The sequence below is a fragment of the Homo sapiens genome, chromosome 12 (genome assembly GCF_000001405.40).
Source record: "Homo sapiens chromosome 12, GRCh38.p14 Primary Assembly".
Classification (NCBI taxonomy): domain Eukaryota; kingdom Metazoa; phylum Chordata; class Mammalia; order Primates; family Hominidae; genus Homo; species Homo sapiens.
In genome coordinates, this window is record NC_000012.12 from 116,303,629 (window position 1) to 116,317,632 (window position 14,004).

Here is a 14,004-nt window from a genome sequence, read left to right on the forward strand (position 1 = left end):
GGTGTGCCTACTGCCCAGATCTACGTGGTAAGCACCTTGCTAGTCCAAAACTAATAAATAAAACATGATTCCTGCTGCCTGGGGCACCACAGTCCACTAGAACTTTCTGCTATCATAGAAATATTCCATATCTGCACTGTCCAATATGGTACCCACTGTTGGTAGCTACTGAGGACTTGAAATGAAGCTAATGTGATAGAGAAACTGAATTTTAAATTTCATTTCATTTGTACTAATTTCAACATAGGTTTAAATAGCCACACATGGCTACTGCCAGCATACTGAACAGCCTAGCTCTAGGAACTCAGAGTCTAGTGGAGGAAATTCACCTTCACTGAGGTGGTGACGTTATGCTATGTGGCCCTGTTCAAGCCCCAAGAACATAGGAGGACACAGCTGTGGTGTGGAGAGTGGCCTGGGATCACAGGAGGCTTCCCAGAGACAGTCATCTCTGATCTGAGTCTGCAGGAAGGAGGGGTTGGTAGGAGAGGAAGGGAGGTATTTTTAAATATGTCCAAATATGTTGGATTTCACAACAGGGTCTGTGCTCAGCCAGGACTTTGGTGGAGATTGAAACTTGTAATCAAGAGCCAGAGTCCTCTTTGAGCTACAAGATAACCAGCACTTACCCCTGAAGGATGAAACCGTATTGGATTCAGGAATTTGTCTACTGTTCTTTTTGGCTGCAGGTTTTGCTTGTTTTTGGCTTTTAACCATCACCTCTCTGAGGACATAAAAACACCTGAAAAGCAAATTTGAAAAATTCACTGGTTAGTTTGAATGCTTTGTCAATATCATGTGAAGCAAAATGTCTAAGATCCCCAAACCAGCTCTAGGCAGACAAAAGAGTAGTAATAATCATAAGGATAATGAGGATAATAATGAAAAATAGTTACCACTTATTAAGACACTTTGTGCCAGACCCAAATTTAAGTTAAGTGCTTTTGCGTATTGATCGTCTTGCATACTCCTACAATCTATTCTCTGCACAGCAGCTAGAGTGGCCTTTTTAAGACATAAACCCTAAATCAGATCATGCTAGTCTGCTGCCGAAACCCCTTAAGTGGCTTCACATTGTACTTAGAATAAAATCCAAGTTCCTTGCCCAGGCCTGCAAGGCCTGACCCCAGCCTACAAATGTTCCCATTCTCCACCTACTTACCAAGCTCCAGGCACGTAAGACCCCTCTCTGGTGTAAAGCCCCAAGCTTTTGTCTGCCCCAGGGCCTTTGCACTTGCTGTTCCTCCAATTGGCAACTCAGCTCCCCACCCTAACCCTCTACTAGAATGAAATATGTCGAAGATCAGGGATCTTGTCTCTTAGGTCACTGTTGCATCTCCAGCCCCCTAGGTCAATTTGTCATACGATTGAAAGAATTTGAATCCTCTGTTATGAGGCATTGAAATCAATGCAAATTAAATAAAATTTACAATTCAGTATGAGGTATTATGAGGCATTATTATCCTCATGTAACAGATGAAGACAGTGAAGGTCAGAGTGGTTAATTTGCTCAAAGCCACATAGCTTGTGAGCTTCCCACTATATACCTGGAGGACTCCAACTATTTGCTACTTGTCAGCTATGCTGAGGCTGCACAGCCACCTTGAGAGATGGAAGATCCTTTAGGATGTGGTTTTCCTTCCCTCACTCTGCAAACAGCCCTGCTATGCCTCACTTAGTCCTTCATTGCCAGAATCTCTCTATATAATAAGAAACCTTAGCCTGCAAAACTACTCAATTCCCTTCTGGCTTTTACCGTATGTTTTTCTTTGATTATAAAATAAGTATTATAGAAAGAATGGAAAGTAGAGAAAGAAGATAAAGAAGCTGGTGGAAAAACCACTCGTGACCTCACTACCCAGAAGCAATTCTGTTAGCATTTTGGTTTCTTTTTTTTTTTTTTTTTTTTTTTAAGACGGAGTCTCGCTCAGTCACCCAGGCTGGAGTGCAGTGGTGCCCTCTTGGCTTACTGCAACCTCCACCTCCTGGGTTCAAGCGATTCTCTTGCCTCAGCCTCCTGAGTAGCTGGGATTACAGGCGCATGCCACCACGCCCAGCTAATTTTTGTATTTTTAGTAGAGACAAGGTTTTGCCATGTTGGCCAGGCTGGCCTCAAATTCTTGACCTCAGGTGATCTACCTACCTCAGCCTCCCAGAGTGCTGGGATTACAGGTGTGAGCCACTGCACCCAGCTTCCTTTTTTTTTTTTTTTTTTTAGAGGTGGTTTCTCACTATGTTGCCCAGGCTAGCCTCAAACTCCTGGCCGCAGGGGCTCCTCCTGTCTTGGCCTGCGAAAGTGCTGGGATTACAGGTGTGAGCCACTGCACCTGGCTAAACACAGTTTTGTTTTGTTTTGTTTTGAGATGGAGGCTTGCTCTGTTGCCCAGGCTGGAGTGCACTGGTAGGATCTCGGTTCACTGCAAACTTTGCCTCCTGGGTTCAAGTGATTCTTGTGCCTCAGCATCCCAAGTAGCTGAGATTACAGATGTGTGCAACCATGCCTGGCCAATTTTTGTATTTTTAGTAGAGACGGGGTTTCACCATGTTTTCCAGGCTGGTCTAGAACTCCTGACCTCAAGTGATCTGCTCACCTTGCCTCCCAAAGTGCTGGGATTACAAGCATGAGCCATGGCGCCCGGCCCAAGCACAGTTTTTAAGGCTGTGTTGACGCTTGGTAAAATCCCCTTGGTTGCCTTGTCACCTAGCTTCACAGCCACTAACTCTTCCCAGGATGCAACTGCTGCCACTGTCCCTTCCACTGCAACCAGGAAGTAGGGTGGAAAAGGGCCCAGAATCTGGAGGTCAGAAATCAAGGTTCAAAGACTTAACTATGTGCCCTTAGAGAAATCACGTCTCATCTTCTCTGCAGAATGAAGACGATAGTCCTTGCCTCCGAGAACAGTGAAAGTCAAATAAAAGATCAGATGGGGAGAGTGTGTAGTAAACTCAAAAGTGCTATAAAATTGTTTGGAATTCCTACAATCCAATGAGTTACGACCACAGAGGTTATTTAAGAAGACTTAAAGGTCAGCAGAGCCAATGTTCCCCAGCCCAAATACTCAAAAGGCTTGCTCTTGTTATGAGATGATATATATAAACTGGATTAGCGGGTCCTTTGCTTGCAATAAATCCTTGGGGGTTTGAGAGAGTGGATGTACCCAGCTTGCTAGCTGCCCATCCAGCATCCATGCCTTACCACTTCCTGTCCTAACAGAAACCCTGTTTGAAGCCAGACACTTCGGCTCATGCCTGTAATCCCAGGACTTTGGGAAGCCAAAGTGGGAGGATCAATGGATCCCAGGAAGTTGAGGCTGCAGTAAGCCATGATCACACCATTGCACTCCAGCCTGGGCGACAGAGCAAGATCCTAAAAATTAAAACCCAACCAAACAAACGAAAACCCTGTTTGGGTCAGGCATTCACCCAGTCCCCATTCAGAATGGGACTCAGGGCAAACTAACTCTGCCCTCAGCTGCAGGAGTGGGCCTGATTGGTCAAAAATAATCCTTCCCCTTGCTAGTGATTGGTTCTGGTAGAGGTCATGTGACCCATTCTGGTCACTGAGGTGGGGGACATATGTCAGATAGGGAGCGATCTGGCTCCTAATAAAGTATCCCTGGAAGATATATATATATAGACAGATCTATCTATCTATCTATCTATCTATCTATCTATCTATATACTTTTTTGAGGTAGAGTTTCACTCTGTCACCCAGGTTGGAGGGCAGTGGTGTGATCTCGGCTCACTGCAACCTCCGCCTCCCAGGTTCAAGTGATTCTCCTGCCTCAGCCTCCAGATCCCAGCTGGGATTACAAGCATGTGCCACTACACCCAGCTACTTTTTGTATTTTTAGTAAAGACGGGGTTTCACTATATTGGCCAGTCTGGTCTCAAACTCCTGACCTCAAGTGATCCACCCGCCTGGGCCTCTCAAAGTGCTGGGATAACAGGTGTGAGCCACTGCACCCGGCCGAGGTTTTTTCTCCTTTCTCCGGATGCCACTTTCTCTGGATGCCACTCCAGTGCTCCTTTCTCTGGATGTCGCTCCTTAAAGTGCTGCAGCTGCAGTCTGATAGTCTTGCTACCAGACTGGCAAAGAAGCCAATACGGAGAGAGGAAGTGCAGAGTGGATGATAGTGATGGTAGTAATAACAAAAGCCACAGACATTTATTGAGCATTTAGAACTTGCCAGAGAGTATTCTAAATGTCTGATTTCCTTTAGCTTGGGAGATGGCCTTGCCTGTTTTCATGGCCTATTAACTAGTTTTTGCATTTTTTAAATGGTTAGATAAAAATCAGGCTGGCCATGGTGGTGGCTCATACCTGTAATCCCAGCAACTTTGGGACCCCAAGGCGAGAGGACCGCTTGAGCCCAAGAGTATGAGACCAGCCTGCGCAACATAGTGAGACCCTGTCTCTGCATTAAAATAAAAAATCATCTGGGTGTGGTCATCCCAGCTACTTTGGAGGCTGAGGCGGGAGGATCATGTAAGCCCAGGAGTTAAGGCTGCAGCGAGCCTTGAACATACTCACAAAAACCCTATAAGTTGTTGTGTTATTATTATCCTGTTTTTCACAAATGAGAAAGCTGAGGCTCAGAGACGTTATGCAATTTGTTCAAAGTCACATAGCTATCAAGAGGTTAGCTATTCAATATCATACTGGCTTTGGAACCAGTCTTCTTAATCACTTTGGGAAAAAACCCAATCCCCGGTGTCACTGTTGAGACGTCGAGTCAACCAACTCTAAACCCACCTCACCTTTAGATTTCTAGGTTAAAGGGGCACATGACATTACTGTATTATTGAAGCCAGTTTGAAACTGCATTTCTGCTCTTTGCAGATGAAAGCATCCCCTTGGATGCCATGAGAAAGCACATAAGAAAGGTAAGAGCAGAAAGGTAAGGCAAGCTATCAGCTTCTTGGACCAGCAGCCTTTTGTCCTTGCTTGGAGAATAAAAGCTTTCTTTTTCCAAGCACTTCAAGGCTCCACAAGGTCCCTTTAAAAGGGATTATGAAGGAAATCCTATTTTAGAATTGCTGCTGATTTTGGCAATTTGCAATATTAGCCTGATGAGGAATTACACTCACTAATAAAATATCTCAAGTTGGGTTGAGCCTAATTGTTGCAAGTGTTAGTAGTAATAGCCTGTCACGGGCACTTCTGTGCCGGCGCATCCCTTGCTTGGCTACAGCCCATGTGGAAAATCAATTTCCTCTAAATGTTTGAAGAATGGCACAGAAGGACCTGATTTCTTTTCCCTCTGCTGGAGTCAATCTGGAGACAACGAACTTATAAAATGAATGAAAATAGCTATCGTTGCAGGATGCAGGGTGAATGCCGAGTTAAGCAAAGCCCCATGTCAAGCTCAAAGTTCTAGCTTTTTTGTCCTGAGGCCAGAGACAATATACGTTTGTGTCCCGAACTGACGTGCTGTTAAAAAGTCAAAGAAAAGAAAGAATTTTACTTCAGCCCAGCAATTTCACTTCTAGGAATCACTCCCACAGAAAAACTCCCACCAGTATGCAAGAATATATGAACAGGGTGTTCCTCACAGCCTGGCTTGCGATGGTGAAAAATTGGAGGCAAGATAATTATCTGACAAGAGTGGACTGGTTAAATAAATGGTCATATATCCATGCTTTGTAGCCATTAAGAAGAAAGTGATAATCTGTACGTATTCCTGTGGAAAGCTTTTTCTGATATAGTGTTGAGTTTTAAAAAAAGCAAGTTGAAGCCATATATATATATATATCATGTAGAGTATATGTAGTTGTAGCACTATATATAGTATGAGTTCATTTTAGTAAAAAACCCCAAAACTTCAACAATGATATGCACATTTATATGTAGATCTTCGTACATGAGTAGAGAAAGGTCTGAAAGGATACACACCAGGTTGTAGATGGTGGTGATTAAACCCAAGGATAGAAATGGTAAGAGGGGAGATGTCCCTTCTATATTGTTTAGATGTTTTACAACAGGGCATATGGCTTTGGTAATAAAAAAAAAAGAAAGGAAGAAATTGGCTGTTCAGCTTGTCAGAATAGCATTGTACTAGATGTACCACCATTTCTGAGGAAAGGGAGGATCAGGCCTTGACTCCACAGGGCTGGCAATATAATCTAGCCACACATGCAAGTCTGTTACACAGCCTAGTCTGATACTTTATAGCTCTTTCTAGTCAATAATCACCATGAAGGGACTTAATCCTTAGCTACCTGCCTACCAAATCAGAACCAAGTTCAAACTTCCTGGGGCCAAGGCCAGAATTTAAAGATTTACTTTTTTAAAAAATTGGGAAAATACACATAACATAAAATGTACCACTTTAAATTATGTGATTTATTGGCATTCAGTACATTGGCAATGTTGAGCAACCATAAGCACTATCTCATTCCATAACTTTCTCATCATCCCAAACAGAAACCTTGTGACCATTAAACAGTCACTCCCCAATCCTTCCGTACTGCAGCTGCTGAAAATCACTAAACTGCTGTCTGTCTCTATGGTTTGGGCTGTCATGCACATTTCATATAAATGAAATTATATAACATGTGGCCTTTTGTGTCTGGCTTCTTTCACTTAGCACCATGTTTTCAAGCCTCATCCATGCTGTAGCATGTATCTGCGCTTCATTCCTTTTTATGGCTGAATAATATTCCATTGCATGGATAGACCACAATTTGTTGATCCGTTCATCATGTGATGGACATTTTTGATGTTTTTATCTTTTAGTTACCATGAGTAATTCTGCTATGAATATTCCTGTATGAGTTTTTGTTTGAACACCTGTTTTCAGTTCTTTGGGGTGTATATGGAGGAGTGGAACTGTGAGGTTCTATGGTAATTTTATGTGTAATTTATTAAGATTTGCCTTTAAAGTTCCAGAAGCCTCGTCTTCTGACCATAGAGGACATGCAGTGAGTGGGAAAAACTTCCCCTGAGTTTCTCGATTATGTCCCCTGAGTCTAGGTAGTTAAGTACATAGATGAAGATAATTGCTATGTAATTATCTTATCTATACTTAAAAAATCATCTGCTAAAATTCCACTTCTTTTAGAGTATTCCAAATATTTCCTTTTTTTCCCTCTATCACCTATTTGTCCCAGAGCACCAAATATTTCTATTACATGTGAATTTGGGGAAGCTGTTAGTCAAAATACATTAATTAGGGCTGGGTGCAGTGTCTTACGCCTGTAATCCCAGCACTTTGGGAGGCTAAGGTGGGCAGATCACTTGAGTCCAGGAGTTTGAGACCAGCCTGGGCAATGTGACAAGACCCCGTCTCTAGAAAAAGTACAAAAATTAGCTGGGCATGACGGTGCATGCCTGTACTCCCAGCTCCTCAGGAGGCTGAGGTAGGAGGATCACCTGAGCCTGGGAGGTTGAGGCTGCAGTGAGCCATGATTGCACCACTGCACTCCAGCCTGAATGACAAAGTGAGACCCTGTCTCAAACAAAATAAATCAATAAACAAAATACATTAATTAAATGATTAATTCAGAATTTCTCATGTAAAAATCCTGTTTTGCACTTGTGGAAAATCAACACTTCTGATGATTCCTAGCACAATGGGCATTAACACTGAATTCGTCAAATGTCAGACCAGGTCTTGCAAGGTAAGCAGGGTCTTGAAATGGGCTTTTACTGGACAGTAACCTATGATAAAGAGTGGGCCTAACTTATAATTGCTGCGAACATAGCAGGTAAGTTGCTTTGGATGTAGGACCTGGGCTGAAGCCCAACTCTGCCAGTAATTAACTTACCTTAGGAAAGGTAAAGGGTTAGGTACACCCTTATGAGCCCTCAGTTTCTTCCTCTGTAATGTGGAACTGATTATAGGACATACTTCATGGGTCATTCATTTATTCATTCATTCAGTAAATATTTATTGTATACCTATGGTGTGCCCCATGCTATTCTTAGTGGTTACTAAAACAAACAACAGTAAACATAGTAAGTAATTATAAGATAGATGGTGATATGTTTTATAAGAAAAGGTAGAACAGGAGGGCCAAGGGAAAGGCTGGATTTTCTTATTTATTTATTTTTTAGAGACAGGGTCTTGCTCTGTTGCCCAGGCTGGAGTGCGGTAGCACAATCACGGCTCGCTGCATGAACTCCTGGGCTCAAGGGATCCCCTGACTGTAGCCTCCTGAGTAGCTGGGACTACAGGTGTGTGCCACCATGCCCAGCTATTTATTTATTTATTTATGGCAGAGATGGGGTCTTGGCATGTGCCACCATACCCAGCTATTTATTTTATTTATGGATTTATTGATTGATTGATGGTAGAGATGGGGTCTTGATGTGTGCCACCATGCCCAGCTATTTCTTTATTTATGGTAGAGATGGGGTTTTGCCATGCTGCCCAAGGTGGTCTTGAACTCCTGGGCTCAAGTGATCCTCCTGCTTTGGCCTCCCAGAGTGCTGGGATGACAGGCGTGAACCACCGCGCCTGGCCTAAAGACTGAAGTTTGAAAAGCACGGTCACGATAGGCTCCACTAAGAAGGTGACATTTGAACAAAGCCTAGAGGAAGAAAGGGCATAAGTCACGTGGGTATCTTGTGGGTAAGGAACAGGGAGTCCACAGGCCCTGAGGCAGGAATGTTTGGCCCTGTTCATGAAAACGCAAAGAGACCAGAGTGCCTGAACCAGTGCGCGCAAGGGCGAAAGGAGGAGTTTTGGATTCAACTTTGAGCCAGATGGGGAGCCCTCGGAGGTTTATGACCTGAGCTGACTTGTATTTCATATGCATCATTCAGTCTGCTGTGTTGAAAAATAGACCACAGACAGACAAGGGCAGCAGCAGGGAGGCCAGTGAGGAGCCTCCCGCAATCATCCAGGTGAGAGAAGATGGGAGAGCTTGGACCAGTAAGGTGGCATGGAGGTGCTGAGAACTGGTCGGGTTCTGAATACATTCTGCAGGTAGAGCCAACACAGTTTCCTGTTGGGAGGATTAAATAAGATAACAGGGGCAGAGCTCTGCGCACAGAGCCTGCATGTAGATAGTACAGAATAATGGCAGCCACAATTATGATCAAGGTGGGTATAGTGTGTTCCCCTGCAGGAGCGGATCAGAAGCTAAAAAGAAACTGAGCAAGGGAGAAGCTATTAAGGTTCCCATGTGGTTTGCAGTGAGTTACAAAGGCCATCAAAGGTAACAAGGCGTTCACACAACGCCGAAAAGGGCTTTCGCAGTATCCAGAGAAACAGGGAGCCGAAAGCAGCAAAGCCACATCATTTAGACCAAACTAGAGACTTTAGAACCAAGTTTTTCGGATAATTGCAAATACATCTTCTTTTGTATTAGGTTGGTAAAAAAGCAATTGCAGTTTTGCATTAAAAGTAATGGCAAAACTGCAGTCGCTTTTGAACCAGCCTAATAGTATATGGAAAGCAACATCAGTCAGGAAAACTGTTTCTAGATTCCCTGGCTTTAGAAATATTTACTGGCAATAATATCATGGCAGCTCAGGTATTTAGTTTCAGGTTTTTAGGTGAACTGCCCAACTTCAGGATTCCTTTCAGGAAGAAGACCCAATTGCCAAGAGACGATTGGATTCCTTTCAACTCAACTTCTCTCTGTTCCAAATTCCAGCGACAAGCGGTCTGTCTGAGGATGATAGAGATGGATTTCTCCAGGGCAATGCCAACCTTGCTCCTCCTGCCTCTAGTAATCAGACCTCCAGTTTATGTTCTGCCAAACTCTTCCCATTGGACATCTGGCCCCAGCAGGGAGAAACACAGACCAAGGCACTTATTTTGGCTTTGACGTCAGCAAAGGAAGGCTGATGAAATTCATCATCAGCGCAGATGAAAATCCACCGAGCCCTATCTCTCTTCCTTACACCGCCTCCGTTTCGAAAGCTGACAGAGGTCTCGCTTTCCTTTTGTTTTCATTTTGCTCTGGATTAAGGTTTGAATTTTTTTTCTATAGTTAATTAGAAGATAATAACGCCAGCGAGCTTATTGTTAATTATTTGTATCTGTACTTAATACTTAAAAGTGTACTCAGTTCTCGCGAGCTAATATTTGGCTTGTCAGATGCATTAGTCATTGTAATTAATTGAGCCCATATACATTTACTGGGGCTGTGGGTAGAGTTATAAAAACAGCGGCAGATATGAAATGTCTCCACTATCTTTTGCTTATCGCTAAACAGAGAATTTGAGGGAAGCGAATCCTTCTTGCAACCTTCACTCGTCACCTGGCTGACTTCTTTCCTCGTTCCTCCCTAGAGGGTCTTCTCTTTAAGACCCTCTATATCCTCTCTTTCTCTCGGCTCCTGTTAATTTCCTTTGGAACATCAGGCCCAGCTGCTTTGTTCATGGGGCCCAGTGCAAAATAAAAACACAGAGCCCCTCGTTCAAAAACTATTAAGAATTTAAACATGGCGATGGCAGAACATTAAACCAAGCCTGGGCGCACCTGTGATTGCACAGGGTGCGTGCCCATCAAGCTGGTTCTGCACACCATTGACTGCCTTTGTCCTTTCCCCAAAAGGGAGCTCCCCCACCAGAATGTGACCCATCCCTCTTCTCTACAGCTAGAACAGTGTGCAGCACGCAAGAGGGGCTCAAGAAGTGGGCAAAACAATTTTCCAAATGCAAACTTGAAAAACGCAAAGTGTAGCCATGCCACTCCCCTGCTTAACATCTCCCATGGAAGGGGCAGAGGGAAGTTTCTGGAGGAATGGAAATGTTCTCTACCTACACCTGTAGAGGGGTGGTGGCCACACAGGGGTATACACCCGTCAAGACTCATCAAACTGTAGACTTAAGAAGAGTCTGTTATACTATGTATAATTATACATCAATAAAAAATAGCATGCTTACAAAAACCCCAATATCTCCACGTTATCCTCAAGGTAGTCTATTCTCCCTCATATGTCACACAAGGTCCTTCCCCAGGGGCTCATTCTGAGTCTTGCAGCCTCACCTCCAGCACTTCTGTGGCTTCCTGTTTTCCAGCCATGGTGACTGCCAGCATGTCCCAGGCCTACGTGCCGTCTTACTCAACTGCTCCCCAGCCCAGGAGTTAAAAAAATCAAAATACGTGTCACCCTGTAGGGCACCAGCACCAACTGAAAGGGACTAAAGAGCAGGAATGGGGCAGAGTCCCAGAGCCTCTTGCTGTGCCAAATGTTAACCCTTTAGTGTCTGCATCGTGGGGAAGTGGGCAGAGATCCAAGAGAGAGGAGGTAGGGAGGGGGCCGCTCGGTGGGCTCTGGGCCCTCACTGTTTACCAATCAATATGGAGGTGATCAAATATTTAACCTGGCGTAGTCACATTGGCGTGAGCCTGCTGAACATCAACCCACCACCTAAAATGTGGGCCGGGCCAGGCCAGGCGCAGTGGCTCACGCCTATAATCCCAGCACTTTGGGAAGCTGAGGCAGGTGGATCACCTGGGGTCAGGAGATCGAGACAAGCCTGGCCAACATGGTGAAACCCCACGTCTACTAAAAATACAAAAATTAGCTAGGTGTGGTGGTGCACACCTGCAGTCCCAGCTACTTGAGAGGCTGAGGTGGGAGGATTTCTTAAACCCGGGAGGTAGAGGTTGCAGTGAGCTGAGGTCACGCCACTGCACTCCAGCCTGGTCAATAGAGCGAGACTCTGTCTCAATAAATAAATAAAATGTGGGCCAGCCCTTCCTTCTCTGGCTGACATCTACCTCTTCCTTCAAATCTCAACTCAAGTGTCTTCTCCAGGAATCCTTGGCGGCTCCGTCTCTTCCTTGGTCTCTCTTGCATTTGCCATACTGTCCTGGATTAATTGATATACATTCCAGTCTTAATCTCTGGAAGGTAGGGACTATGAGTAGGGCAAGGTGCCTGGCACACACACACTCAGGGGCACACACATGGATGAAGGGATTTTCCTGTTGGCCTTCCTGGCACGTAGCGCAGATACTATAGAAATGGATGAATGAATGGATGAATCAGTGAATTTCTTCTTTGCTTTATCTATATTTACTTTAATTGAAACAGTGGCAATTCTTGAGACATGGGCTTGGAGAGAGTGTATTGCAGCAACTAAGATCTCAGACTCCGAACTCAGGCAACCTGGAGGGATTCTAGCGCTTGCCGTTCGTCAGTTCTGGGTGTGTGACTTGGCCTCCCTGAGTACCAGATCAGGTCATTATTGATCTGACTTCACAGGGTTGCTGAGGAGCTCTAAGCACTTAGCCCTCAGCAGCTCTGACTGTAAGAGAAATTGTATCTTGTTCACCATGCAGCCTGAATCGGTGGATGTGGTCGCCAGATGCCAGGAGAAGTCACCTGCCATTTGCAGCCATCCTCAAGTAAGCATCTTTGGTTTTACCTTCCATCTACCCAGTCTCTTGAGTCAGATGATTGCACAGCAAAAATGAAATATCCCTGTGATAAGAATATATGACTGGCAGATGTTACTGAACTGAAATCTGTGAGACAGTGAAAATGGATATTTTCTCATTTGCCTCCAACTTCCTGGTGTCTCTGCTGGAAGGTACCAGTTTCAGCCATGAGAGAGAGAGAGAAAGAGGGAGAGGGAGACAGAGAGAGAGAGAGACAACGAGTGCTGAGGGGAGTGATCCTCAGCTTCATCAGGTGATCAGGTGAACCAACTTGTGGATTACCTTCCCAATCAAAAGCCTGCTTTCAGCCTTTCTGGAAATTCTGTGCAGGAATAATTCTTGGCTAAACATAGCATAAATTGTCCCATCACCCCAGACCTCCACTTCCTTCCAAACCTCAGCTTCTTAACCAAGTCCTACATTTCCAAGAAAAGGCATTTTAGCATCCTGCATAAAAACTCAAGACTCCAGAGCCTGAAAGACTGAAAGTTCAATCCCACATTTACCCATTCCTGGCTGTGAGATCTTAGGCAAGGCTCTTAACCTCTCTTCCTCTCTTAGTTTTATTTTCTTCCCCTGTCCAGTGAGGAAGAACAGTATCTCTGTTGCAGGGTACCTGTGAGGACTATGTGACACTTACTAAGTGGCAGGATTTGGTGAGAGTTTCTTAAATATTGGTTTGATACTCACTGGTTTCAAAAAAGGATATGGAATGGTGGAAATATTTTTTTAATTCTATAATGATCCCTGCAGATCTGCAAAATTGGAAAGACTCTTATTGAATGAATCACCTCATGTGCCACTGGCATCTTTCTGCACGGTAGACTGAAAAATGGCCTCCCAAAAGATTCAGGTTCAAATTCCTAGAACCTGGGGATGTGACTTTATTCAGAAAAAAGAGGCCAAGCCTGGTGGCTCACACCTGTAATCTCAGCACTTTGGGAGACTGAGGCAGGAGGACTGCTTGAGGCCAGGAGTTTGAGACCAGCCTGGGGAACATAAGAAGAACCCATCCCTACAAAAAATAAAAAGGTTAGCTGGGCATGGTGGTGCATGCCTGTGGTCCTGGCTACTCAGGAGGCTGAAGCAGGAGGATAGCTTGATCCTGGGAGGTTTAGGCTGCAGTGAGCCTTGATGGCACCACTGCACTCCAGCCCCGGTGACAGAGTAAGACCCCATCTCTAAAACAAAAGGAAAGGAAAGGAAAACGATATTTACAGGTATGATTAATTAAGGAGCTTGAGATGAGACCATCTTGGATTAAGATCAGCCTTAAATCCAATAGAGATGCCTTTATAAGAGACTATAAGGGGGGAAGACACGCACAAAGGCGAAGGCCATGGAGGCAAAGTTGAGAGACATGCAGCCACAAATCAAAGAAGCCAGCAACCACCAAAGCTGGAAGAGGCAAGGAAGGCTTCTTCTAGACCCTTTGGAGGGAGAACGGCCATGCTGATGCCTTGATTTTAGACTTCTGGACTCCAGAGCTGTGAGAGAATAAATGTCTGTTGTTTTAAGTCACCTAGTTTGTGATAATTTGTGACAGAAGCCCCAGGAAACTGATACATCCTATAGCATCTTTAATGGAGAATGCAACCACTTGATTATACTGGGCAGTTCTAAGGATGAAGAAGATGATTCTGTAACATGTGTGCC

General features: G+C 44.4%; 2 annotated features.

The window, feature by feature from the left end:
- Window positions 3,441–3,585: an enhancer, noted in NCBI's record as "145 bp 12:116744946 sequence used in MPRA reporter constructs". NCBI's record gives its function as "activates a minimal TATA-containing promoter with rs76530201 allelic activity by MPRAs in C283T melanocytes and UACC903 melanoma cells {active_cell/tissue: C283T | UACC903}" and the evidence as "EXISTENCE:reporter gene assay evidence [ECO:0000049][PMID:36423637]".
- Window position 3,513: a transcriptional cis regulatory region, noted in NCBI's record as "rs76530201 or 12:116744946 MPRA-significant variant associated with a GWAS melanoma risk locus at 12q24.21". NCBI's record gives its function as "allelic transcriptional activity by MPRAs in C283T melanocytes and UACC903 melanoma cells {active_cell/tissue: C283T | UACC903}" and the evidence as "EXISTENCE:reporter gene assay evidence [ECO:0000049][PMID:36423637]".